Consider the following 27,220-nt stretch of genomic DNA (forward strand, 5'->3'; position numbering starts at 1 on the left):
GCTGCTGCCGGAACCCCGGCTCCTGTGCCCGGCGCCCGCCCGGGCCAGAAGTTAGGTTTCGAATTCACTAAAGGTTTAGGATTAATAGTTCGTGAAACTGTTTTACACATTTCAGGGTGACTCCAAAATTCTTCATCAATATTAGACTCATGCTGCTTATGAAAATGCAAAACAAATGCAGTTTTTCTACAAGATCATTATAAGCTTATGTATTTGCCTTATACATACTTTTGTAATTTCCACTGAGAGTAGAAATCATCAAATCTTACTCATCTTTGCATCTCTCACTAAGCATTATAGCCTAACACAGAGAGGTGCCCATTAAATGTCTGTTAACAAAACAACAGACATCAAAGGAAAGCTTTAGATCTGGAATAACTAAAAATATTCTGACATTATTTGGTATATGTTAAATAGTTCATAATAAATTTTATTATAATTTAAATAGTGCATAATAACATTTTAAAAATCCATGCAACAAGAATCTCTCATATGATGAATTCCTAGAAATGATGCTGCAAGTTCAGAGGTCTGTAAATTGTGTAAAATGTAAGTGGTGAATATTTTTCAAACAAATGTATATTGTGAAATTCAAATATTATAAACTATTTAATTTACAAAACAAAATACAAAGAAGAAAGCAATCATGATTACTTCCTTAACTCAGCAATGGCAGCAATATTCTTAATCTTCATTACTACACACAAACACACACATGTAGTAATGTGTGTTGCTCATCCTATGTACCAGTGGAATACAGGATAAGGGATGTGGCCTACTTAAGGTGCTGTAAAGAGAAATGGGTCTGTTTCTTACTCTAGCGCTCTATCCAACAGATTAACATCTATTTATTCTTCTGAACACCTTTCCTAATTAGCCTCCAGAGAAATCAGTAGGCATTATTTTTGTTGACATTCCCAATCTTCTTAAAACAATTAAAGAATGGGGGCAAGGAAATGAGCACATCAATGACATGCAAAAAAAAGGAAAGAGTTCTGTTGTTGAGGTCCTAAATAGTAACGATCACTCTGTTATTATCTAACTCTTCTTCCCCAGAAGCTATTGTCTTTGAATTTGCACAACAACAAAGTTTGCTGGCTGGATGACCTGTCTAACATTATAAAGAAGGCCCCGAAAGTCAAGATCCTGAACCTCTCCAAAAATGAGGTGACAAGAAAGGGCCAGATCAAATTTGGGTTGAGGGTAAATTATAGTGCACATCAGGATGATAACAAGAAATAGGATCCCCAGCAGACACAGGCCAGCTCCTGGAAATGCCCTCACTGGCCAGACCACCCACTGCTGCTCTTCTTTTTCTCCTAGGAGCAGCTTGTGCAAGTACTTCAAGGATAGCAGAAATATAAAAACTCTCAAGCTTGTGATGGGGAAGACTGGGCAAGGTAAGGGGGTGTGATGGGAGCAATCACAGGGGCCAAGGGCCAGAGTGTGGCAGCACCCCCCCCCCAAAAAAAACCTTGCTTCTCCTCTCCTCTACAGACCTGTGGGGGCAGCTGCTGAAGCACACAAAACATGACATTGTGGACTCCCTCAGTGTGTTGTCCAAAACTCAGCATGACCTCAGCTCCTTCCTGGTGGACATGTGTTACCAGAAGGCAAGCACCTGCTTACTCCCTTGGACAGGCCCTGAGAGCCAGAGGTGGGTAGGAGGTTAAGGGGGATCCTGAGCACTGGAGCTCTTCCCTTTCAGAAATGGATGCTCTACTTTTCTGTCTACGGTGTGTTGAAAGAAGGTGAGTGTCTGTAGAGTCCCCTCCCCAAATCCCCCACTGCTCCTTCCCCCTGGCTGGGCTCCCTCTCAGAACTCTCCCAGCTTCCCTGACCCCTTTTGTTCCCTTCCTATTCACCCTGTGTTCTTCCGTTCCCACTCTACTCCCAAAGAATTACCTGTCTTATTGCTAAGTCATAAATTTAATAAAAGTTTAGAAATACTTTCTATATTGCCAAAAGAAAAAAATATTAAAATCGGAAAAGCTGGAAGAACATATTTGCAACAATATTGCAGACTTTGTGTTAATATCCCTGTGCTAAAGGACTTTTGCTTACCAGGAGAAACTGTAACAAATATCAACAGTTAATTTCCCTGAAAAGCAAAATGATTCTATAATAAACATCTGCATCCAAACCACATTTGGTAAAGAAATGAGAATTAAAAGATGTCACAATATGTGAAAAAATCAGTTTGCAGAAAATTATGTGACTTCAAATTCTTAAAAGAATATATATGTATAGTATATATATATGTATGTTTGTTACTTACAAATATTTTAAGGTAGGTAAACATCTGCCTTGCATGTCTAGAAAGTGTGTGCCAGATTGGTAAATAGATTACAGTGACTATCTTTAGGTCATCGTGAGGTGATCATATTGATAGAAAGTGCAGAATGACTTTATTTTCAAAATATACATTCTATAGTGTTGAATATTTTATAATTAGGCAAACTTCAGGGACAGCAAGTAGCTGGTGATTCTGCAAATAAGTTTTCTCCTCTTCCATAAAGGAATACAATGTAATGCATTGGACAAAGACTGAATAGCTGAGCTCTCTGTTTGTAACAAGTACCTGGGTCTGAGGCCCTGATTGTAGCTAACCAATTCTGCAAGAGTATTTCCCTTGGAAACGGCTCCCTGGGGGTTAGGCTGGTAGCGAACTTAGGGGGCAGTAAGAAAAGTAAATTCAGTCTCCTCTAGCCCCCAGAGGTCTCCTCTCTATGCCTTTGAAGAAGGGACTTCCTGTAAGGACTCCATCTTGTCCACTAACAAAGTTGCTTTGGACTTGCTCTCACCTTCCTCAGCTGCCCTCCCCAAACTTCTGCAAACCCCGAGCTCTAGACCACACAGATTCCCCTTAAGAGAGCCCTGTGTGGACACTGGTGAAAGGTCACTGCCTTAAGGACACACCATGGGTGAGTTGGTCAGCATGAAGCCTTGGCTTTAGGTCCCTACAGGGCAGGAGGGACTGAGCCCCCTCCCCACCTCCATTCCAACCCACATGACACCTAGCGGACTCTCCTTTAAATGGGAAGTAGCAAAAGCCCAGGCTGACTGTTTCCCACTCTCTTGAGGTCTTGGCCCTAGTGGGTCCTGACATATCCATAGTGGCTCCACATGGAAAACTTCCCCTCCTGTGGTTATGGAAATGGCTGAGCCGAGATGTTCCCCTGGTTTAGGGGAAAGGTCTGAGTCCTGTGATCCTCTCTGGTCCAGGATTTGGGGAGTGAGGAGTGTCACCTGAGGTGAGGGATATTGGAAATTAACATTTTTGAGATTTATACTAGGGGTGGAGGAGGGGCAGATAACCCACCAATACCCTCAAATTTTCAGCAGCCATTCAAAGTAGATTGTATTACCACTATAGCGTTTTTGAGGCTTGTTTTATAGGTCAGCATATAATCTGTTCTGAAATGTTGCATGTGCTGTCATATGCAGTGTTCTTTCTGTTAAGTAAATTTTGTTTGTTTCTTTGTTTGTTTTTTGAGATGGAGTCTTGCTCTGTCGCCCAGGCTGGATTGCAGTGGCGCAATCTCGGCTCACTGCAAGCTCCGCCTCCCGGGTTCATGCCATTCTCCTGCCTCAGCCTCCCTAGTAGCTGGGACTACAGGCGCCCGCCACCATGCCAGGCTAATTTTTTTTTTTTTGTATTTTTAGTAGAGATGGGGTTTCACCGTGTTAGTCAGGATGGTCTCGATCTCCTGACCTCGTGATCCGCCCGCCTCGGCCTCCCAAAGTGCTGGGATTACAGGCGTGAGCCACCGCGCCCGGCCTCTGTTAAGTAAATTTTGTTAGTCATGTTTTTTAAATCTTCTTCACCTAATGGATTTTGTGGCTGTTTTATTTGTCATTCAGTGAAGTATGTTTAAGTTTCCTACTGAGAATGTGGATTTGTCCATTTCTTCATTTACTTCTGTCAGTTTTTACTGTGCATTTTTTTCTCCATTTAGTTCCATCAATTTATTGTCATGTATATTTTGGCTTTGTGCTAAAAAGTACATACAAATTTGTTTTATTAACATATTTATGTTGAATTAAACCATTTGTCATTACAAAATATCCCTTCTTCTAGTAATATTTTACTGAAAGTATATTTTTTCTCTTATGAATAGTTATACCAGCTTTCATTTCGTCAGTGTTTTAATGGTATATTTTTTGCCATTTTTTTTTCAAATGTCTTGTGTTTTGTTTTACATATGTTCCTATTAAGGAGCATTTGATTGAATTAATTTTTAATTGAGTCTTATGATCTCTGCTTTTTTATTTGAAACCTTCAGTACATTACATATAACATAATTCCACATAAATTTGGCTTAAATATAACATTTTTCTGTTTGCTTTACATCTATTTTCCTATCCTAATTTTCTCTTTTCCTTTGTAAAATTTAAAATTATTATTTTTAAATTATTAATTTTTGCCTCATTTGGATTGATAATGTGACATTCTTCTGTCATTTTTGTAGTCTACCTTTTGGATTACAACATCCATTCTTGCCTCTAATGTACATTAGTTCTTTTACATATCCTTGGACAACACAGGTACCTTCCAATATTTTAACTCTTTTAATGCCCCTCCCAATATATTGGTGTGCATTTTTAACTATATATATTTATATATTTAAATTCCTTTTTAAAATTATTTTTAATTTTTAATCAAGTTCTGGGCTACATGTGCAGGGTGTGCAGGTTTGTTACATAGTTAAACATGTGCCATGGTGGTTTGCTGCACAGATCAACCCATCACCTAGGTATTAAGCCCAGCATGCATCTGCTATTTTTCCCAATGCTCTGCCTCCCCGACCCCACCCCTCCAACAGGCCCCAGTGTGTGTTGTTCCCCTCCCTCAACAAACTAATGCAGGAACAGAAAACCAAACACCACATGTTGTCACTTATAAGTGAGAGCTGAACAATGAGAACACATATTTAAATTCTTTAAAGACATTATCACTGTATTATATAATCAATATTCATTTAGATTTTCCTACGTATTTGCCAATGTAATTATTCTTCATTCCTTCTTGTATTTACTTGCCTCAATCTGGGATCGTATTTCTTTGGCCTGAGGATGAATCTTTAGTTTTGAGTTGACTGGTGACAAATTTGCTTAGCTTTTGTTTGCATTAAAATGTCACAAGTAGGGCCGGGCACAGTGGCTCATGCTTGTAATCCCAGAACTTTGGGAGGCCAAGACAGGCGGATCACTTGAGGTCAGGAGTTCGAGATCAGCCTCGCCAACATGGTGAAACTTTGTCTCTACTAAAAATACAAAAATTAGCTGGGCGTGGTGGCACGCGCCTGTAATCCCAGCTACTCAGGAGGCTGAGGCAGAAGAGTCACTTAAACCCAGAAGGCAGAGGTTGCAGTGAGCCAAGATCGTGCCATTTCATTCCAGCCTGGGCAACAAGAGCGAGACTCCACCTCAACAACAACAAAAAAAAAGTCACAAGTAGCCTGGAAAACATGGCAAAACCCCGTCTCGACAAACAAAAATTAGCCAGGCGTGGTGGTGCATGCCTGTAGTCCCAGCTACTCTAGAGGCTAAGGTGGGATATTGCTTGAGCCCAGGAGGCAGAGGTTGCAGTGAGCCAACACCGTGTCACTGCACTCCAGCCTGGGCAGCGACAGAGTGAGACTTGTCTCAAAAAAAAAAAAAAGTCACAAGTGTGAAAAAAAAATCACTTAAAGTGCTTTTTTCTATTTTCTCACTCCACAACAACCATCAGCACAGAAGACTTCTGTGACCAAATGTGTGGGGGAGTTTTCCCCACCAACAAGCAAGCAATCAGTTTTATAGTAAACACCTGCTGTGTGTCCTCTAATTTAATTTTGGTAGTGTCAAAATTAAATTAGGTTACCTGGAGATAGCATCAGATCCCACAGGTTGGGGGCTCAGTTCCCAAGACTGGCCCCCTCCTTCAGACACCATCTGTCGGAAGTCTGGGGCTCCAGAGCTTCTGACTGATGGCCTTCAACTTGGAGTTCCTACGACCCTCTTTTTGAATGTGATTAATTTGCTAGAATGGCTCACAGAACTCAGGGAAGCACTTACATTTACCAGCTTATTATAAAGAATATTGCAAATAATACAGACAAATAAATGTATGGGGCAAGGTACAGGGAAGGGATGTGGGGCTTCTATGCCCTCTCCAGATGTGCCACCCTCCAGGAACTTTCATGTGTTCATCCATCCAGAAGCTCTCTGAACTCTGTCCTTTGACTTTTTATGTAGGCTTTTTATGTATGCATGACTGATTAATCCATTGGACATTGGTGACTGACTTACCCTTCAGCCCCTTGAAAGTGCCAGCGCTTTAATACTGCCTTGCTCTTTCCAGTGACCGTCTCCCATCCCGAAGCTACCTAGGGGCTGCCAGCCTAGCACACAAAAAGACTTCACTTTGGAGTTTATAAAAATTTTAGGAGCTGTATGCCAGAAAACAGGGTTGAAGATCTAATATATGTTTTGCAATATCACAGATGTTTATTTAACTTCCATTTTTGTATCTTTCAAAAAATGGAAGTTAAATAAACACACAATTCTAGGCCTACAGCTATTATACTTTAGCACTCTGGGTATATAACATTACTTTCTTCAAGCTACGTTATTTCTGTTTAAAAATTATATATCGATCCAGTCTTATTTTTGCTCATTTGAAGATAACCCATTGTTTTTATTTTACTTTGAATATTTGCTTTTTTCTTTGGATTTCAACAGCTTTACTATGATGGACCTGGGTTTGGTTTTCCTCATGCCCCGCTGGACTTGAAATATACATTGCTTCTTGCATCTGTGACTTGGTATCTTTTGTTACTTTTTGAAACTGCTCAAAAATTCTACCGTGAAATACTGCTTTTGCACTACTTTCTTTTCTTTCTTCTAGAACTCCAATTAAACATGCTTGGTGTATTTACTGTATCTCCTTTAATTTTGCCCCGTGTCTTTTTGTATTCTTCATCATTTTGTGTCTTCATACTTCATTCTGGATATTTTCTTCAGATCCTTCTTTCCAAACCTCCTTGTTGTTCAAGGAGATGTAAAAGAACTAATATGCATTAGACTGTGATAAGGCAAGAATGTACATTGTAATGTGAAGGGTAAAGACCACAAAAGTATATCTGTTATTTTATGCTGCTAATCACAAAGTTGTTCTTAATTACAGTTATTGCATTTATGAATTCTAGAAATTCTATTCATTTTAATATATTTTCCAATTCTTGGCTGAAATGCTTAATCTTTTATATTCTTGACAATAATGCCATTATCTGATTATCTGGATTTTATGTTTTTTATTGTCCTTTTTTTGTTTGTTTGCTTGGTTTTTAATCATGTCATTTTATCTCCTTCTAGATTTTTTTTCAGAGAACTATATATAATAAATTGTAGATTTATTTATTTCAGTCTTAGAATGAAGTTGTCTTGCTCCAGGGAAGATTTTTTTCTGTCAACTTGCTACGTTGCAAGGAAAACCCCAAATCTCTTTAATCCCATTGATGATTGAGATGATTAATTTGGACTTCAGTCCCTTGGAGGGCTGGTCTATTTCCAGTTTACCCATATTTACCTGATGTAGCTCTTAGAGGTTCCTATCTAAGCCTGAGTGGTTTGCCAAGATCCCCTCTCCTTAACATACCCAACTTCAAATTTTATGCTCTTAGATCTATAACTCTGGGAATTTGGCACAAATTCACAGTATTTTAGCATCGTACCTATATCCTTAGGCATCACCAACTGCTGCTAGAAAAAAATCAGCCCCAAGGATTGGGATTACATTCTGAGTTTCCTTTTTTCCCCTGGTATTTCCCCCATAACATCTTATTGTATCATTAGCTTTTTGATGCCTTTAAACAACCTTTTATTTTAAATTAGTTTCCACACTTTTCTAGTTGTTCTCAGTTGGAAGTTTGGTGCAATGTAACTAGTCTCTCTTTGCTGGAAGAAAAACTCTAAATTTATTTTTTCAAATGCTGAGTTTGGTATAGTCCTTATTATCCTCATTATTATCTTCTTTACTGTGTCTTCTCTCTAATGTTTGGAAGATAATGTCACAGGAATGGGAAAACACATGTAATATGCTTTCCATGAAGTTTTCCAGATGGACATATATGGCTAGCATGGATTCGGTATATCAGAAGTTTTTCTCATTTTATTGTATTGCCATTGCTCATCCTCATCTTGTGCTTCCATCCTTGAGTGTTTGCCTCTTGTTTATGAGACTGTCAGGTCTCTTTCAGCCTTCAACTACTCTCTGATATCTCAGCCACTCCCCTGATAATAAATTCTGGATCCTTCTCTTCCCACCGTCCTCCTGACTAATTATGAATATATACATTGAGGGAATGTTTTTCAAAATATAAACTTTAAAAAGGGCAATTGTTTTATCAACATATACAAATTTTCAAAATGGTTGGTGAACTGGTAAGCTCATTCACTCACTCTTGATTAACATGCAAATAAGTATAAATGTATATTTTAAATGCCACTTCTAAAAATCTCTTAAATTTGAAAGCATTCATGTTTTGACCAAAGTAATCCACTTGTAGAATTATTGCAGGAAAAACTGTAAACAAATAATAGAATGTATATATAATCCTATTCTTCGCAGCATTGTTTATAGTAGCAAAAATTTGGAAAGATTTATTAAAATTTGAAATTTTATTAGTAGATTAAAGTTTGTGGCAGATTTTTTTTTTTTTTTTTTGAGATGGAGTTTCGCTCTTGTTGCCCAAGCTGTGATCTTGGCTCACCACAACCTCCGCCTCCTGGGTTCAAGCGATTCTCCTGCCTTAGCCTCCCGTGTAGCTGGGATTACACCCATGGGCCACCACGCCAGTCTAATTTTGTATTTTTAGTAGAGACGGGGTTTCTCCATGTTGGCCAGACTGCTCTTGAACTCCCGACCTCAGGTGATCCACCCGCCTCGGCCTCCTAAAATGCTGGGATTACAGGCGTGAGCTACCGCGCCCGACCTGTGACAAATTTTAACTATAATAATAATCTATTGTATAAATTACATTAAAGTCAGAAATTGTTATTTAGGTATTTTAGAAAATATGAAAAAGGTAAATTTTGGACTAATCATATTTATTCTTTCCTGAGCTTCCAGCTCAATGAGATTCAGCCATCAGTTCTTGCTCTGGTAAACAGGTGACCTTAGCTTTAATTTCCACAGTGTCTTTAAAGGAAAGCATATTAATTTGATAGATAATAAAAATCAATTAAATATCATTTCTGAACATGCAATGATATAAAATGTTAACTGAAATAGTAGGTTACAGATATTTTTACAATATGATTGCAGTTTGAAAATATATCTGTGTATATATAACATATTCAATAGCACACAAGCATACAGCAGCAAACATATTCACTTATCACCTCTCTGTTTCTCTCAGTCTCTCTGTCTTTCTCCCTCTCTCTCAAATTATTTGTTAAAGAAACTGGATCTTTTGTCATGCATTTGGTTCATTGCCTATCCACAATGATGAAGCCCTGAATTGCTGCTGAGGCCTGATCAGATTCAGGTTTAATGTTTGGCAAGAATATTTCATAGGTGGTACCCATAACAAAGTACCTTATATCTGGTTGTTTCCCTTTTTGTGATTTTTGCAAGGCATTAATGATCATTGTATAAATTCTTTATTTAATTAGAAGTTTTTGAATGATGATAGTCAAATTCTATCTTGCCTTCTTCATATATTAGCTAGAATATTCCTATAAAAATAAAATTTCATCAACAATTTGGCTATCTTTATGTACAGCTTGCACAGGGAAGGCAGAATAAATATTTGATTCTTCCCTTTTATTTACAAATTTTTATAAATATAAGTTGGTTTCCTGGCATTCTACAAATGTCATCAATAAGGTTCTTCTTGGTTGTTGTTTTTGAGTATCATTATGAACTCACAGCTTTTTAACATATTGATGGGATTCAAACCCTTGTTATAAGATTTTTGAGCAGAGGAATGAGAAGATTTGACTTATGCTTCAAGAAAATCACTCTCCCTGCTATGATGAAAATGCATGGTGAGGGAGCAAGTGTAAAAGCAGAGGGACAAGTTGGAAGGCAATGTAATCCAGGAGATAGATGTTGGTGACCTTGCCAGGGTAGTAGCAATGGAGGGAATGAAAAGGGGCCAGACTCTGGATATATTTTAAAGGTAGAGTCAAGAGACTTTCCTGATCAGTTGGATGTGAAGTATGAGAAAAAGAGAGCACTCCAAGCTATCATCAAATTTTGGGGACTGAACATTTCTGGATCAAATGCTCTAACCCATATTTAATTTCACTTCCAGTGCCATACAGGGAAAGTCCCAAAGGTTATGAGTAACAAGACTCTCTTGACCATGGGTCACATGGTGAAAGCAATGACTTTCCAGAGGAGTTCATCTGAGGCCTGGTCATAATAAGTATATTGTAAAGTGATCAGGAGTGAATAGAACGTTTACTCACAAGTATGTCCTGAGGTAACATGGAGTAATTAATATACAATATGTATAAAATACAAACCTATGGACAGGCACTGTGGCTCATGTCTGTAATCCCAGCAATTTGGGAGACCGAGGCAGGTAAATTTCTTGAGCTCAGGAGTTCGAAACCAGCCTGGGCAACATAGTGAGACCCCATGTCTACCAAAAATTTTAAAAAAATAGCCTGGCATGGGGTGTGGTCTCAGCTACTTGGGAGGCTGAGGTGGGAGGATTCAGTGGAGCCCAGGGGGTGAAGGTTGTAGTGAGCCAAGATCATGCCTCTGCACTGCAGCCTAGGTGACAGTGTGAGACCCTGTCTCAAAAAATATATATTTTTATATAAATATATATTTATAAAAATATATATTTTTATAAATATATATTTATATATTATATATTTTATAAAATATATATTTTTATATAAATATATATTATATAAATATATATTTTATATAATATATAATTTATATAATATATATTTTTATATAATATATATTATATAATATATATTTTTATATAATATATATTATATAATATATATTTTATATAATATATATTATATAATATATATTTTATATAATATATATTTTTATATAAATATATTTTTATATAATATATATTTTATAAATATATTTATATTTTATAAATATATATTTTTATATAATATATATTTATAAATATATATTTTTATATAATATATATTTATAAATATATATTTTTATATAATATATATTTATAAATATATATTTTTATATAATATATATTTATAAATATATATTTTTATATAATATATATTTATAAATATATATTTTTATATAATATATATTTTATAAATATATGTTTTTATATAATATATATTTATAAATATATTTTTATATAATATATATTTATAAATATATTTTTATATATTATATAAATATATATTTATATATTATATAATATATATTTTTATATATTATATAAATATATATTTTTATATATTATATAAATATATATTTTATATAAAATAAAATACAAACCTAGAGAACCTTAAATTTAGATGCTAAAAGGAAGCTGGCTTCGGATAGTCTAATTTCCTTAATCCCCACCTCCAAAACCACTAGTATTACCATTGTTTCAGTTGAATGTGATAAAAATAAAATATCCTTTGTGAATATGCTTATGGGAAAGAGAATTGATACTATCTTTTAGATGTAAATTAAACTTCCAAATCTTGTCACATGGTGAATTGAACATGTTGGTGGGGAATACAGAGGGTGAACAAGGAAATTTCTAGGAGTAAATACAGTGTGAAATATAACTGAAACACTTTATAAGCATTCCTGAGTCCACAATTATTTGATAAAGTAGACTTGCTAGCAAAGAAAACCAATAGAAACAAAAAGAATATTACATAATGATAAAAGGATCAATCCACCAGGAAGACAGAATGATCCTACCTGTATACACACCCAAACAGCAGAGGCTCAAAATACGTGAAAGAAAAACTGACGGAGCTGAAATAGCCAAGTCCAAAGTTGTCATTGGGGCCTTCAACATCCCACTCTTAGCAATTGATAGAATTACTATATAGAAAATCTACAAGGCTATAGAAGATCTGAATAGTATAATCAGTATAATAGTATGATAGTATAATACAGTAGTATAATCAATACAGATCTACATGACATATATAGAACATTTTACCCAACAACAGCAGAGTACACTATTTTCCCACATATCTTATAACGTTCATGATAGACCATGTTCACAGACATAGACCATGTCCTGGGCCATCAAAAAACCTCAATAAATTTAAAAGAATGAAAGTCATACAGAGTATTCTCTCTGACCACAGAAAAATCTCTAAACACTTGGAAATTGTAGTTGACACCTGTCATTTCTGATCATTGTTCAGCTCCTTGTTATAGAAGAGTAGCGGTTAGAAGCATTGCCTTCTCAACTGAAAGGCATTTCAGGCTTAGCAAAAAGAAAGCTCACTCTGTATTTCCAAAAGAGTATTGTTGAGGGCAAGGCTGGAGGCAGAGAGACAGTTCAGCAGGATGATGCATCAATCCATCCTGTCATGAAAGCTTGCACTAGAAAAGACAGTACAGCTTGCTGATTGTTAATAAAATCAATTTGGTGGCTGATTGCATTTGGGAGGTGTGAGAGAGGTTGCCTATCAGGTTTTGGTGAGGTTGTTAGACTATAGTGGCATAAGAGAAGGCAACATTTGGATCCTTCCTGGGGTATGGTTGATGTGCAGTCTAATCCATGAACATTCACACTTCTGTTCTCTATAAATCCTGCTCCATTTTCCAAATGGTTCCACACAGTTACCTCCTCCTTTAAGATCTCTTCCCTAACTATGTCATCTGTGAGAAAAGGCTCTCCTATCTGGACGGGTAGAGGAGTTTGCTTTCTGGGGCTTGTGTGACTGCTCTATTAGGGCGGGTTGGCACTTTGCTTGCCTTACTATGGTGTTAGGCCAAGAAATGGTACATGGTATATGACCACTGATGTGTCTTCAAACTTGTATTTTTGTTCCAAATTTCAGAACACAGTGATGGTAGCAGCTCTCCTCAAGGAGAAAATAAAGGTGGAGATTCTTCCCAGGGGAATTTTGGAAAGGAGAACCTTCATGATGAACATGATGGGTATGAGCTCCCACCTCCCCATCTTCAGAAGGTAGATGAAAATGTGGAGGTGGGGGATGTCCACGAGGATCCCCAAATAAGAAAGTAAGTGACCAGGCAGGCTGGTTTGCACATAGCAGCCCCTGGGACTTTGTAATTCTTTCACTCTCTGTAGTCTTTTTTTCCTCTCCCTGAAAAACTGAAGAATGCTAGAAGTGAAGTAATGGCTGAGAAATCCTAATTGCAGACCTGGTTTTCAGTGAGTTGAGGGTGTATGAAAAACTGTGTCACATTTCTATGCATTTCTATACATTTATAGACATATCTTTTTATCCATTTCCCTACAGCAACCCCTCTACCTTACAACCCGATAGTAGGAGTGTGAAATGCCATAGTGAATACCAAGATAGAATTCCTCCAGAGAGAGAAGTGGAGAAGAACACACAGAATGGAGACCCAGGGACCTGGTTCAAGGTCACAGTGAGTGTCCTGAGAAAATGCAAAAAATGTGCAGGAAAGGTGGGTCAGGGAGAGTTGTGTTAATCACACGTAGAAATACTAGATATTTTTCTGAGGACAGGGAAGTTAACATCTAAGCACAGGTTCAGAAAAACAATGTAAAGGGAACAGGCTGACTGCAAGAGGACCCAAGAGTCTGTCTAAACGCAAAGGTGGAAACTACTGCCAAGAAGATGTGGCAGCTCTCCACAAGATGCCTCATGGCTCAAGCTGAGTGTAGCAGTGTTGAGTTTCTGGAGTTCTTGTCAGAGGTGCAGGCTGGGTCTTCAATAGGTAGAATCTCCTAGCACCTTAAAAAAAAGATCATTTAGAACATCTGAATTTTATTATCTGAGAGTTATATTTGGAATAGAGAGAAAGGACAACTAGGAAACCCATGTCTGGCAAAAAAAAAAAAAAAAAAAAAAAGTTGAAATCATGTTAATGGTCCCTATCTTAGAAGTCTTTTAAAGCTCCATTAGAAGGTTAGAATAAAACACTTAGTTGGGTTATTTTCCAGACTTAATTCCATGTTGTCTCTCTTCTATCCTATCCCTTCTTTTCACCATTAGATTCCTTATGGGATAAAGTATGATAAGAGTTGGATAGTGAATTCAATCCAGAGCCATTGCAGTGTCCCCTTCACTCCAGTCGCTGTAAGAGAAGATGGTGAAGCCAGATGAGTAGGCACAAGGGAGGGGGAGACGCCTGACTCAGCAGGGGCCACTGACCTCTGACACTATTGCTCTTGCCTTTACTCCCTGTAGTTCCACTACAACAAAAATCGGGCCCATTTCTTTATTCAGGATGCTAGTGCTGCCTGTGCATTAAAGAAAGTCAACTGCAAGATTCATGATGAGGAAAACCAAAAGGTATATGTCAACAACATTCCCTATATACAGTCTCTGGGAAAGAGGACAGGCCAGGGTCTAGTCATTGTCTTTTTTGAGATTGAGGTCCTCGTGCTCAACTTGCCTCACCTTCTTGCAGGTATTTGTTTTTGTCAATCTTTCTACTAAACCCCAGTCTATCCAGAAAATGTTGAAACCAAAAGAGATGGCATAGCTAAAGGTAATACAGACTCAAGGCACCACTTCTTCCCCCACCCCTATATTTCCCTGTCACCACTACCACCACCACCAGAGCCTCAGAGCTGCTCTCTTCATCTGTCTCTGCAGCTGACCCTGAACAAATGATATGATGTCTCCCAGCAAGCTCTTGATCTCCAGAGGCTCCGCTTTGACCCAGGTATGGCTGACAGCAGCAATTCTAGGGCAAGTAGGGGCAGAGCAGTCTGCCTGGAAAGGAGACTTATATGGACGGCAACTTTGGGAGGGTTGGTGCTGGTGCTGGTCCAGTCAGGCCCCTTACAGCCTTCTGATGCCCTTCTCTCGGCTTCCTGGAGACTTGGTGAAACATCATATTGATATAATCCTGAATCAAAGAAACTACATGGCTGCCACTCTGAAGATCATTGAAAGGAATTTCCCTGAGGTGAGGCCTTAGGCCCAGTGCTAGTATTTAATTAGAGGGGTGGAAGAAATGGAGTGAAAGGCAGATTTGTTTCCAAGGCTCGAGATAGTATCCGTCACTCTAACTGTTCTTACCTGATAGCTATTATCTTTGAACTTGTGCGACAACAAACTGTACCACCTGGATGGCCTGCCTGACATTATAGAGAAGGCTCCCAAAGTCAAGACCCTGAATCTCTCCAAAAATAAGGTGAGAAGGGGGAACCAGATCAACTTTGGATGGAGGGTGGATGGCAGTACATATCAGAATAATGGCAACAAGCAGGCAGAGGTACCTGTGGGTGACTGTGAGGACTGGGGGAATTCGGGACCCAGGGTCCCGGGTGTTTCTCTTTCCCTGGCCCTCCTTCTCCAGTTTCCTCCCCATCTTTCTTAGCTGAAGTCGGCTTGGGAGTTGGGCAAGGTGAAAGGGTTGAAGCTCGAAGAGCTATGGCTGGAAGGGAACTCATTGTGCAGCACCTTCTCTGACCAGTCCGCCTATGTAAGGTCAGTGGCAAACCCTGTCACCCTTCCTGGGCACCTTTGCTCCCTGGGTGACTGAGCTGTGTCTGAAGGTGCCCTTCTGCAGGAAGAAGCAGCCTTGGTCCTCTGGGAGGACCACAGACCTCCCCTCCTACTCTCTCTCTCTCTCTCCTGTCTCTCTGTCACTCACTCATCTGTGGTTAGAGGTCTCCTTTCCTTCCTCTGACATGGTCCCCTTTTCACCTGCTCTGGTGTGTGTTTCCCGCCTGTCTCCACCAAGCCTCCTCCAGTGTGCCCTCTGTGAGTGTGCTCCAGGAAGTGGGGCTCCCCACCTCCCCAGGACCAGCAGTATTCAGATGCTGGTGCCCTGAACCGAGAAGAGTCCTTTAGTCCGGGACCTCATGCTGAGACAGGCCTTCCTGCCTCCATGCTGAGATGGGGCTTCCCTCCCCTGTCCCGAGAGGGGTTCTCCTTCTCTTGCTCCAAAAAGGTCCCCCCACCTGTCCTGGGCTGGCATAGGGGCTTCCCTGCCCCATACTGAGGGCTGGGGCCCCGGGTGGCTGCTGTCATGCCATCTCTTCCTCTGGCCCAATGCCAGGAGCTGGGCCCTCCTTGGGGAGAAACCTGGGTTTCCTACGTCAAGGGGCCAGAAGCGGGCCACGTTCCTGAGGCGGGAGTGGAAGGCAGAGGGCAGAGGAGGTTGAGGAGACAGAAGGACAGGCCTCTCAGGGCACTGCCCCACCTTCCCTCCTTCCCCACCTCACATCGTCCTGCCTGGGCCCTCAGAGGAGCCCTGGGTAGCCCAAGATGGGTAGCATTCCTCGGTCAAGGCGTCAGCACAGAGGGGCACAGGAGTCAGGGACCATCAGAAGAGAATGCAGTGGTCTGGAGAGGGGGTCCCCAGACTCTGAACCCCATGCTGAGCTGGGGCCTGACTCTTCACTCCTCCCGGGAGAAGGTCTCCTGTCCCCGTGGCTGCTCTGTTTCCCATGCCCAGCTCAGACTGAGCTCACACAGGTGAGGAAGGCTCCAGCTGCATCCAGTGGGCCCCAGCCCAACAGGTGCATGTTTTCCTTTCCTGCCTCAGTCCCCAGGGACAACCGGGAGCGATGAGGGAAAGGGCTGCAGCAGGGGAGCCCTTTTCTCCTCTATACCTCCCTGAACTCCACCTCCACAGTAGAGCATCTTTCCCTTCCCTTTGCTTTGCATCCTGTTTCTCCCTTGCGTCTCCTCTCCTATGTCTCACCCGTCTCTCCCTCCCCTACCTTCACCCCATTTCTGTTGTCATCACCCTGCCTTCCCCTTCCTGCCTCCTGAGCCCAGCCTCACTCACCTACCTATCCCAGCATCCTCAGCATCCCTAAGACCTGACCTGGTCTTGGCCAGGGGCAGGCCAGGCAGATTGACGGACAGCCAGTGGGGTAGCAGAGCCCTGGGCTCCCACTCCATTTCCTGCTCCCTGCATAGCCTTCCGTGGGGATTTGGACAAAGGGGAGGGAGGGAGGGGGAAGAAACCCTGGAGCTCCCAATGCTGCTTCTTGTGGCACTGGAGAAGAGAGTCGGGGCAATCTAGGTGGAAGCTAACCAGGAGGAAGGAGAGGGAGGAGAGTGAGAGGGGGAGAGGGAGGGGCAGGGGGAGGGAGAGGGAGAGAGGCTGTGCAACCCTGAATTGTCAATCACTTCATTCTATTTTTTGTTATGGACAGTATCATCCGGGAATATTTCCCCAAGTTGTTATGCCTGGTAAGTATTTACTGTCATCATTGTCTCTTACTCAAGTACATGACCTCCATGCCTGCCCTCAAGTCCTTTGGCTCTTGCCTGGATTACATGTTTGTATCCAACCCTCATCCATTTTAGAGGCATAGATTCCTGAAAAAGACAAGAATATTCTCCCTGGAATAAAATGTCCATAAACACACACACGCACCCACACTCACTAATTCACACAAAAGTTGCATCTAATAATAGATGCTTCCAAGACCCACTGTTGAAGACTCCATCTGCTGTCTTGCTGATAGAATTTTGAGGGGGCCATTTCATGCCTCACCTCTGACCCTTTTTCCCTCCAGGCCTGTTCATCTCCTTACTCATCCAGCTCTACCTCCCTGGTATGCACTGCTGACTGCCTCTTTCCTTTCTCAGGATGGCCAGGAGTTAGCATCTCCAATTATAATTGGCATTGAAGCCCCTGAGATAATAAAACCTTGTAAGGTAAGGAGGGACCAGATTTCAGATACTGTAAGGGACGTTTTTTAAACCACATAGTTTCAAGATGTCTTTTGATTCCAGGAAAGCTATAAAGGATCTGAGACCATAAAGAGTCTGGTGCTTCAGTTCCTGCTTCAGTAAGTACCCCAGAATCCTGAGGCTGTGGAAGGCTGAGACAAGACAGGCCACCCAAGCAAATGTCTATTCATGGATTTAGGAAGTCTTCAAGTCTCCTTTGGGGCCCAGGCCACAGAGATAGCCTTTCCCCACTGCTCTTTCACAGGTATTACTTGATCTATGACTCTGAAGATCGAACGGGTCTCCTCAGTGTTTACCATGACAAGGCCTGCTTCTCCCTGACCATTACCCTCAACCCTGAGGACCCAGAACCGTGAGTATCACGGCTCTGACTCTGGTCTGGGGCCATGTGGTCCCCAGCAAAGGCCAGTTCCTGGAAATGTCTGCACTAGCTGGACCACCCACTCCTGTTCCTCTTCTTCTCCTAGGAGCAGCTTGGAAAAATACTTCAAGGATAGCAGGAATATAAAGAATATCAAGGACCCTTGTGAGTGTGTGATGGGTGAAGATCAGCATGGGAAATGGGGTGGAGAGTCAATAATAGGGTACAGGGTACAGGGTGTGGCAGCCCTCAATGCTTCTCTTTCTCACACAGGCCTGAGGATTCAGCTGCTGAAGCACACAAAACGTGAGATTGTGGACTCCCTCAGTGTATTGCCCAGAACTCAGCATGACCTTAACTCCTATGTGGTAGACTTGTGCATCCAAACGGTGAGCACCTGCTTCCTCCCTCAGTCAGGCCCAGAGAGCTGAAGTAGGTAGGAAGTAGGTAGGTGGGTAGGAGGATCATGAAGGCTCTAGTTTTTTCTTCTTCCCTTTCAGGAAAGGATGCTCGTCTTTTCTGTCAATGGAGTATTTAAGGAAGGTGAGTGTCTATAGATTCTTCTCTCCAGATCACTCATTACTCCCTTCCCCAGGCTGGGCTTACTCCAAGAACTCTCTCAGCTTCCCAAGTTGCTCTTCTCCCCTTCCCTTGCATTCTTCCTCTCCGTTTGTGTTCTTCCTCTCCTGGCAACTTTCTGTTATCTTTGTGTTCTTTCCTTTTTGTTCCCTTCCCTTTGTGTTCTTCCTCTCCCCCAATTTTGTTCCCAAACATCATTACTTCCTGACCTACATCCATGCCTGTCTGCACCTGCACCACTCAGGCGTTAGGGACACAGCCTGTAGAGTTTGATGGCTCTCATCCCAGGTTGTTACTTTGCGAACTTGGGACATTGTCCTGTTACCTAACCCCTCAGTTTCCTCATTTGCAAAATGGGGTTGGTAAGCTCATCTCTTGGGTGACTGTGTAAAATGAATCAAGCGAACTCATGTTTGTCAAGAGACCTGACACATGTTAGGGGGTTCTATCCCTGGGTGCCGCTTGTTCCTATTTTTGCCCTCTCAGTCCCTGAAACTCCCTCCTGACTCTCACTGAAAAGTTGTCCCAGCCTGGCTCCCTTCAGGGTGCCAAAAGATTATCTCCCTGACTGGAGAACCCTGTATGAATGTGTAAAGCATGTGCAACTGTAAGGAGGTATCATTGTTTGTTGTTTCTAAAGTGGAAAGAGAGTCTCCAGGTTCTGTTCTTGCCTTCACCCGAACCTTCATCTTGACTTCTGTCGGCAATTCCAAGTAAGTGCTGTGCTGTGGGTGGGAGCACCCATCCTGTCCTGGAGCCAATGGTGTGGTAATGTGGTGGTGCAGTCCTCGGGATGTTCTCAGTACCATAGAAAGCCAACTGGTAGATCCAAGGAGAGGTCTAGATTATGAGAATACCAGATTCTCTTTTTGGCCACAATACTTACTAATTAGCTGTGTATCTTTTTGTCCAGTTGTAAGATTTCTCTGTGAAACAGTCCTTTTCTGAAAATGGGATGTCTACTTCTTTTGTAAAGTGTAAATGCATTGGGGTTAAATCTACAAATCTAAGGAAACTGGTAGGCAATCTCTCCAAAGGTGGACTCTGCAGCAGGGGTAAAGCCTACCAGCCAAGGAATCCGAAAGGTGGGCAGAGCAGGGGCTTGGAAGGAATCTGGTTCCTCAGTGGCAGTGGAAGCAGGATCATTGTTGAAAGTGTGGGGTTGTCCATTTTTCCAGTTGTCTGAGAGCTTGTCTTTCCTTCAGTCTGTATATTGTGAATGACAAGCTGATTGTGAGGAATGCCAGCACGAAGGAGACCCAGAGTGCCTTCTCCATCCCAGTGCCTGCACCCTCCTCCAGCTCCTTGCCTACCCTCTCCCAGAAGCAGCAGGAAATGGTGGAGACTGTCTCCACCCAGTCTGGGATGAAACTTGAGCAGTCTCAGAAGTGAGTGCTGGGAGTCTTTCAGGATAGATGTGAGCTGGGAAGAGTGGGGAGTGAAAAATGGAAACTCTCAGTTAATTTGTAAAAATAACTATTTAGATGTGGTGCTTCCAAAAATGAGTGGCCTCATAAAGTATATATATTAATTGATTGTGATAAAGAAATTAATTTTTAAACAATATAGCGTTCAGATCACATGACATGATCTTGTATATATAAAATCCTATGGAAACCACTTAAAAACACGTTAAAATTAATAAATAAGTTCTGCCTTGTTTCAGGATACAAAATCAATGTACAAAAACCAATTGTATTACTATATACCTGTAATGAACAATAAGAAAATAAAATTAAGAAAACAATTCCATGTACAAAAGCATACAAATAACACAGGAACAAATTTAATGACAAAGAAAAATCCAAAACATTTACTTTGAAATCTGCAGTACATTATAGAAAGAAATTAAGGAAGACCTAAATAAATGGAATGACATCCCATGTCCCTGGATTGGAAGACTTAATATTGTTAAAATGGCAATACTCCCCAAATTTGTATATAGATTCAATGCAAATGCAATCCATATCAAAATCCCAGCTGGCTTCTTTGTAGAAATTAAGAGGTTAACCCTAACATTTAAATGAAAATACAATGAATGCAGAATAAAAAATAATTTTGAAAAAGAACAAAGTTGGAGGACCCACTACAAAGTTACTGCAGTCTTACTACAAAGCTACAGTAATCAGTCCATACTGAGTGATACAGACCTAAGAATAGACATATAGATCAATGTAATAAAGTGAGAGTCCAAAATAAACCAAAATCCTTACCTTTATGGTCAATAGCTTTTCTACCAGAGCGCCAAGAAAAAAAGCCAGTGGGTAAAGAAAGAATAGCCTTTTCAACAACTGGCCCAGGCAGAACTGGATATCCACTCACAAACAATGAATTTGTACCCCATCATATGCCATATACAATAATAAATCAAAATAGCCCAAGGCCTAAAAGTTAGAGCTAAAACTATAAAAATCTTAGAAGGAAACAAAAGAGTGAATCTTTGTGACCTTGAATTAGACAGTGGTTTCTGATATATAACAAAACACACATACACACACAAAATTAGATAAAGTGGATTTCTTCAAAATTTAAAACTTGTTTTGCATTAAAAGGTACTATCAATGAAGTAAAAAGACAACCCAAGAATCAGAGAAAATATGTGCATTATTATACATCTGATAAGGGACTTGTATTCAGAATATATAAAGAACTCTTGGAACTCAACCATAAAAATGAAAATAACCCAATTAAAATGTAAACCACACTGAGGTATCACTTCACACACAGCAGGATGGCTACCATTTTTTGAGATCGAAATAACAAGTGTTGATAGGAGGAAAGCAATAGGGAGAGCTGTGTTAAAAGATACAAAATTACAGCTACATAGGAGGAATAAGTTCTAGTGTTTTACAGCATTGTGGGATGACTATAGCTAACAATAATATGTAGTTTCAAATAGCTAGAAGGAGGATATTAAATGTTCCCAACACAAAGATAAATATTTAAGATGATGGATATGCTAGTTACATTCATCTGCTCACTGTACATTGCATGTATCGAAACATCATTATGTACCCCATAAATATGTACAATTATTATATGTCAATTAAAAATAATTTTTTAATGTTGACAAAGCTATGGATAAATTGGAACCCTCATACATTGCTGGTAAGAATGGAAAATGATGCAGCTACTGTGGAAAATAGTTTGGCAGTTCTTCAAAATGGTAAATATGGAATTACTATATGACACAGCGATTACACAAAGAGTGATGAAAACTTATGTTCACACAAAAACTTGAAAATGAGTGTTTATTGCAGCATTATTCGTAATAGTCAAAAAGTGGAAACAATCCAAATATTCATCCATTTATGAAGATAAATCAAATGTGATATGTCTATATAATGAAATATTACTTGGCAATAAAATAGAATTAAGTTGTGATACATGTTATAACATGGATGACCCTTGAAAATATTATGCTAAGTGAAAACAGCCAATCACAAAAGACTACATATTATATGAGTTTGTTTATATAAAATGCCCCAAATAGGCAAATCCATAGAGACAGATAACAGATTAATGGTAACTAGGGTCTGGGCAAAAAGGGGAATGAAGAGTGACTGCTAACAGGTAAGGAGTATTTTTTTAAGGTGGTGGAAATGTTTTGGGTAGATAAAATTGTAATGGTTGCACAATTTTGTAAATATACCAGAAAAATCACTGAATTGTACACCTTAAAATGGTGAATCCTGTCTTACACCACAATTTTAAAATTAGTGGATAATTTTTAGTTTTGAATTTCTATTTGTTATTTCTTGAACATCTTTTTTCGTCAATATATATTAAGCTCTTGTTCATTTGAACAACCCTATTTTCCTACTTTGTATTCTAGTGGGCATGAATGTCAGCGATAGGCATTTTGGTTTTCCCTAGGCCTTTAGTCATCGTTACAATAGCGCTCATATTGGTACATGGGTCCCAGCAAAAAGTAGCATAGATTAAGGGGTGGCATTGCATAGTCAGCGTGTTGGAAATCACCTGTTCTTCTCCCACCCCAGGTGCCTTCAGGACAGTGAGTAGAACTACACCAAAGCTGACCAGGTTTTCACTATTCTCCAGGTGAGATCTGGGAATCAAGTGGGTAAAATGTGGATGTTTCCTGTCTTTCAGAAAGGCCAGAAAATTGTAGGCCAGGTGGTCTGGGTATGGAACCCAGGGCATCTGGCTCTTTGGACGTCCCAACTCCTTTTCTTTACTTCCTCTAGACCGAAGGCAAGATCTCAGTGGAGGCCTTCAAGCAAATCCCCTAAAAGGAGCCCTTCGATGTCTTCTTTGTCTTCATTCACATCCTCTTTGTTTCCTCTTTTTACCAGCCTAAGGCCGTGCCCAGGACTGGGGTTGGCAGCCTGGCTCACCGGAAAGCCAAAGTTAACTTGCAGGCCGGGTAACATAACCACTTGAAGAACCAGTTGTTCTGTGTATTCGCCCCACTCATGATCACCATTTATTTTCATAATAAAGAGTGATGTTACATGTTGTACATTGTATATCCTGGATTGCTCTTCCCCTGCCCCAACCATGAGCCAGCAGGGCCAGGACTGAAAGACCCTGCATCCCTATTCATCCCTGGCTGGCTGCAGGAGATACATTGATTGGGCTTGCATTCATAGGTAATTTGTCAATAAATCCTGATGAGAAAGGGCACACGCTCCTTCCAGAGATTGGCCTTGGCCTTAAGAGACAGTGGGACTCTGTCAGATGCTCAACCTGGAGCCAAACAGAAGCGGGCATGTTACCTGGCACAACAGGGGCTTCCATCCACCGTCCCGACCCCTCCCTTTCCCAAAGGTGCACTTTGCGAGGAGTCTCAGGTTAGCATCTGCAGGGGCGGGGAGACTCAGCCCATCTGCCCAGCTCATTCCTCAGAGAGCCGACACCAGGTGCTCCATGTCCATGTTCTTGAATGGGTTCAGCCATTTATTTTCACTTCTAAGCAAACAACAGCAGCACAGAATCTCAGGTTATGGTCATTTCTGTAGGAACTTTCTCAACAACTGGCATTTAGCATTTCCGAATTGCAGGCAAGAGTTGAATGGGACATTTGCAGAATTTATTTTCCACACTTCTGTAATGCTTGCATGTTAGACAATCAGCAGGCACACTTTTTGAAATTAGAATAATAGTGGTATGACGTTTTCAAGTCACAATCCTATAAATGATTACATAGGAGAGGTACCACCAGTTTACAAATTATGCCTCCACTTTCGTGTTTGGCATATGTTATTTCCTACCAGTTGCCACTTTCCTACCACTTGCCACTTTTCAATTCTTTATGTACATGTACATTTGGGAGCCATATGTTGGAGTGTTAATCTCTTAAAACTAGGAACTAAGGGGATAGTTGCAATCACATAAAGAATAATGCCAACTTTGTTCGTCCCTGTAGTGCCTCAATAGTCAAAGACAAGCTCCTGTACCTCTCTAAGCCTTGGTCCTCTCACCTAGGGAGCAGAGACCACACCGTGCGCTTCTCAGCCTCATCGCGGGGACTACAGATGGTCTCACATGTTACTTATCAACCATGGTGTCTGTTCAGGCACTCAGAGCTCAGAGATGCCTGGGTTCCTTTGTGTGCAGGAATCATGGAACCCATCACATGGCCCCTCTACTTCCCCTCTGTACATCATCAGGCTTCCACAACCTTGACCTCCTTTTCTACCCAGCTCAGACACCATGGTCTTCCAGTCTCTCATCCTCCTGCCAGTTCCCACAATTCCTTGTGGTCTCATGCTCCCGAGCAAATGCTAACCCTAAAGTTGTCTTCATCACATACGTCTGTATACCCAAAGTCACAGTTTCTAAGTAGCAGAATTGAGATGTGAAACTAGACAGTGGGGCCTCAAAGTCTTGAGTATGGAATGGCTGCACACTCATTAAACCTCCAGTCTTTTATTTTAATCTCCAAAACAGCATGTTGCATGAGCATTAGTGCTACTCTCATTTAAAAGAAGATAAAAATTAGGCCCAGAGGAGTGACATAGTTAATACAACTCAGGATTTTGGTATGCAGTCACTCACCTGTGCCACCCTCAACTATAACATAGATTCATACTCGATGTAAAAATATAGCTAGACTTGAAGTCAGCACAAGGGAAATGACTCAACCATTTTCCTCTGGTCATGGGTAGATGTGCTCTTGGAACACCCCTTTCCATACTCCAATCTTTAGTTCCTGTGTACACTCTCCCCATTCTTAGACACAATAAGAAAACTGTGGCTTTGATGTTCAACTATAGGGTGGGGCAGCAGAGACAAGAAAGAACATAGAATGAAATGAAGGTTTCCAGCAAGACAGATACCAATTTACAAGATTATGTTCCTATGGTTTTACACATTTTATTTAAGTATCAATGCTCTCTCTCTCTCTCTCACTAACATCCCATTCCTTGATCTCTCTAATTTTCTCCCACTTTCAGACCTTCTAGCACTTTCTTTCCCTTCCAAACTTGATTGCAGGCTCCATAATTTCATGCACAATTGAGGCAAAATCCTCAACTTCCTTGCAGTGTCAGCAGGGTCACTAAATTTTATTCATGATAATAACCTGGGAATCAGAAATTAGTAAATGGACACTGGTGCCAGGGTCAGTTTTTCTATAGTTAACTGCTTTCCGTTGAATTGAAAATATTAAAGTTCAAAATATATATTCTATCCCCTCTGCCAAAAACAACCAAAAATTAATGGCAAGTGAAAAATTGGAAAAGTATTTGCAACATATTTTAGTGAGAGAAGATTAATATACTGGACATATAAATAAATCTGACTTAGCTAAAAGAGTGATGTCTATGGCCAGCTATTATATATTTCAAAGAAATATTAAACTAATTCAAATATATACACAATTTTAAAGTACATATAAAAACGAGATAAATACATGAAAAAGAAAATTTCAGAATATACATATAATAAGATCCAACTGATTAAAAAGAATATATATTTACATATTAACATACATGTATGAGTTTCATTGTTTGGAAATCATAGTAATAATAGATATTTACTTCTAGTGCTTTGTTCATGGTTTCTACAACTCTTCAGTAATACCTCTTACTTTCCTCTATTAGAAAGTATTTTCCGGGGCTGTTCCAAGATGGCCAAATAGTAACAGCTCCAGTCTACAGCTCCCAGCGTGAGTGACGGAGATGACGGGTGATTTCTCATTTGGATACCTCATTTCCAACTGAGGTACCGGGTTCATCTCACTGGGGCTTGTCGGACAGTGGGTGCAGGACAGTGGATGCAGCGCACTGAGCATGAGCCGAAGCAGGGTGAGGCATCGCCTCACCAGGGAAGTGCAAAGAGTCAGGGAATTCCCTTTCCTAGCCAAGCAAAGCTGTGACAGATGGCACCTGGAAAATCGGGTCACTCCCACCCTAATACTATGCTTTTCCAATGGTCTTAGCAAACGGCACACCAGGAGATTATATCCTGCGCCTGGCTCAGAGGGTCCCATGCCCACAGAGCCTCACTCATTGCTAGCACAGCAGTCTGAGATTGAACTGCAAGGTGGCAGCGAGGCTGGGGGAGGGGTACCTGCCATTGCTGAGGCTTGAGTAGGTAAACAAAGCGGCCAGCAAGGTCAAACTGGGTGGAGCCCACCACACCTCAAGGAGGCCTGCCTACCTCTGTAGACTACACTTCTGGGGGCAGGGCATAGCCATACAAAAGGCAGCAGAAACCTCTGCAGACTTACATGTCCCTGTCTGACAACTTTGAAGAGAGTAGTGGTTCTCCCAGCACGGAGTTTGAGATCTGAGAAAGGACAGACTGCCTCCACAAGTGTGTCCCTGACCCCTGAGTAGCCTAACTGGGAGGCACCCCCCAGTAGGGGCAGACTGACACCTCACATAGCCGGGTACCCCTCTGAGACGAAACTTCCAGAGGAACGATCAGGCACCAACATTTGCTGTTCAGCAATATAAGCTGTTCTGCAGCCTCCACTGCTGATACCCAGGCAAACAGGGTCTGGAGTGGACCTCAAGCTAACTCCAACAGACCTACAGCTGAGGGTCCTGACTATTGGAAGGAAAAGTAACAAACACAAAGGACATCCACACCAAAACCCCATCTGTATGTCACCATCATCAAAGACCAAAGGTAGATAAAACCACAAAGATGGGGAAAAAACAGAGCAGAAAAACTGAAAATTCTAAAAATCAGACCACTTCTCCTCCTACAAAGGAATGCAGCTCCTCACCAGCAACAGAACAAAGCTGGATGGAGAATGACCTTGATGAGTTGAGAGAAGAAGGCTTCAGAAGTTCAAACTTCTCCGAGCTAAAGGAGGAAGTTTGAACCCACCCCAAAGAAGTAAAAAACCTTGGAAAAAGATTACACGAATGCCTAACTAGAATAACCAATGCAGAGAAGTCCTTAAAGGACCTGATGGAGCTGAAAACCATGGTACGAGAACTACGTGAAAAATGCACAAGCTTCAGC

At 40.8% G+C, this 27,220-nt stretch overlaps 2 pseudogenes across 1 annotated transcript; both read left to right on the forward strand.

Moving 5' to 3' along the window:
• LOC100420162 (nuclear RNA export factor 5 pseudogene) lies at positions 1,044 to 1,670 on the forward strand (annotated as a pseudogene).
• On the forward strand, positions 1,531 to 23,259 carry NXF4 (nuclear RNA export factor 4 (pseudogene); annotated as a pseudogene). The gene is given in 17 exon segments (NR_002216.1): positions 1,531 to 1,751; positions 13,018 to 13,117; positions 13,444 to 13,576; positions 14,167 to 14,250; positions 14,362 to 14,466; positions 14,585 to 14,665; positions 14,773 to 15,088; positions 15,209 to 15,316; positions 15,503 to 15,612; positions 17,295 to 17,331; positions 17,734 to 17,802; positions 17,881 to 17,936; positions 18,083 to 18,190; positions 18,306 to 18,364; positions 18,473 to 20,166; positions 22,780 to 22,840; positions 22,987 to 23,259. The product of NR_002216.1 is annotated as a nuclear RNA export factor 4 (pseudogene) (transcript).
• The last annotated feature ends 3,961 nt before the right edge of the window (positions 23,260 to 27,220 follow it).

This window comes from Homo sapiens, chromosome X, assembly GCF_000001405.40.
Source record: "Homo sapiens chromosome X, GRCh38.p14 Primary Assembly".
Taxonomy (NCBI): domain Eukaryota; kingdom Metazoa; phylum Chordata; class Mammalia; order Primates; family Hominidae; genus Homo; species Homo sapiens.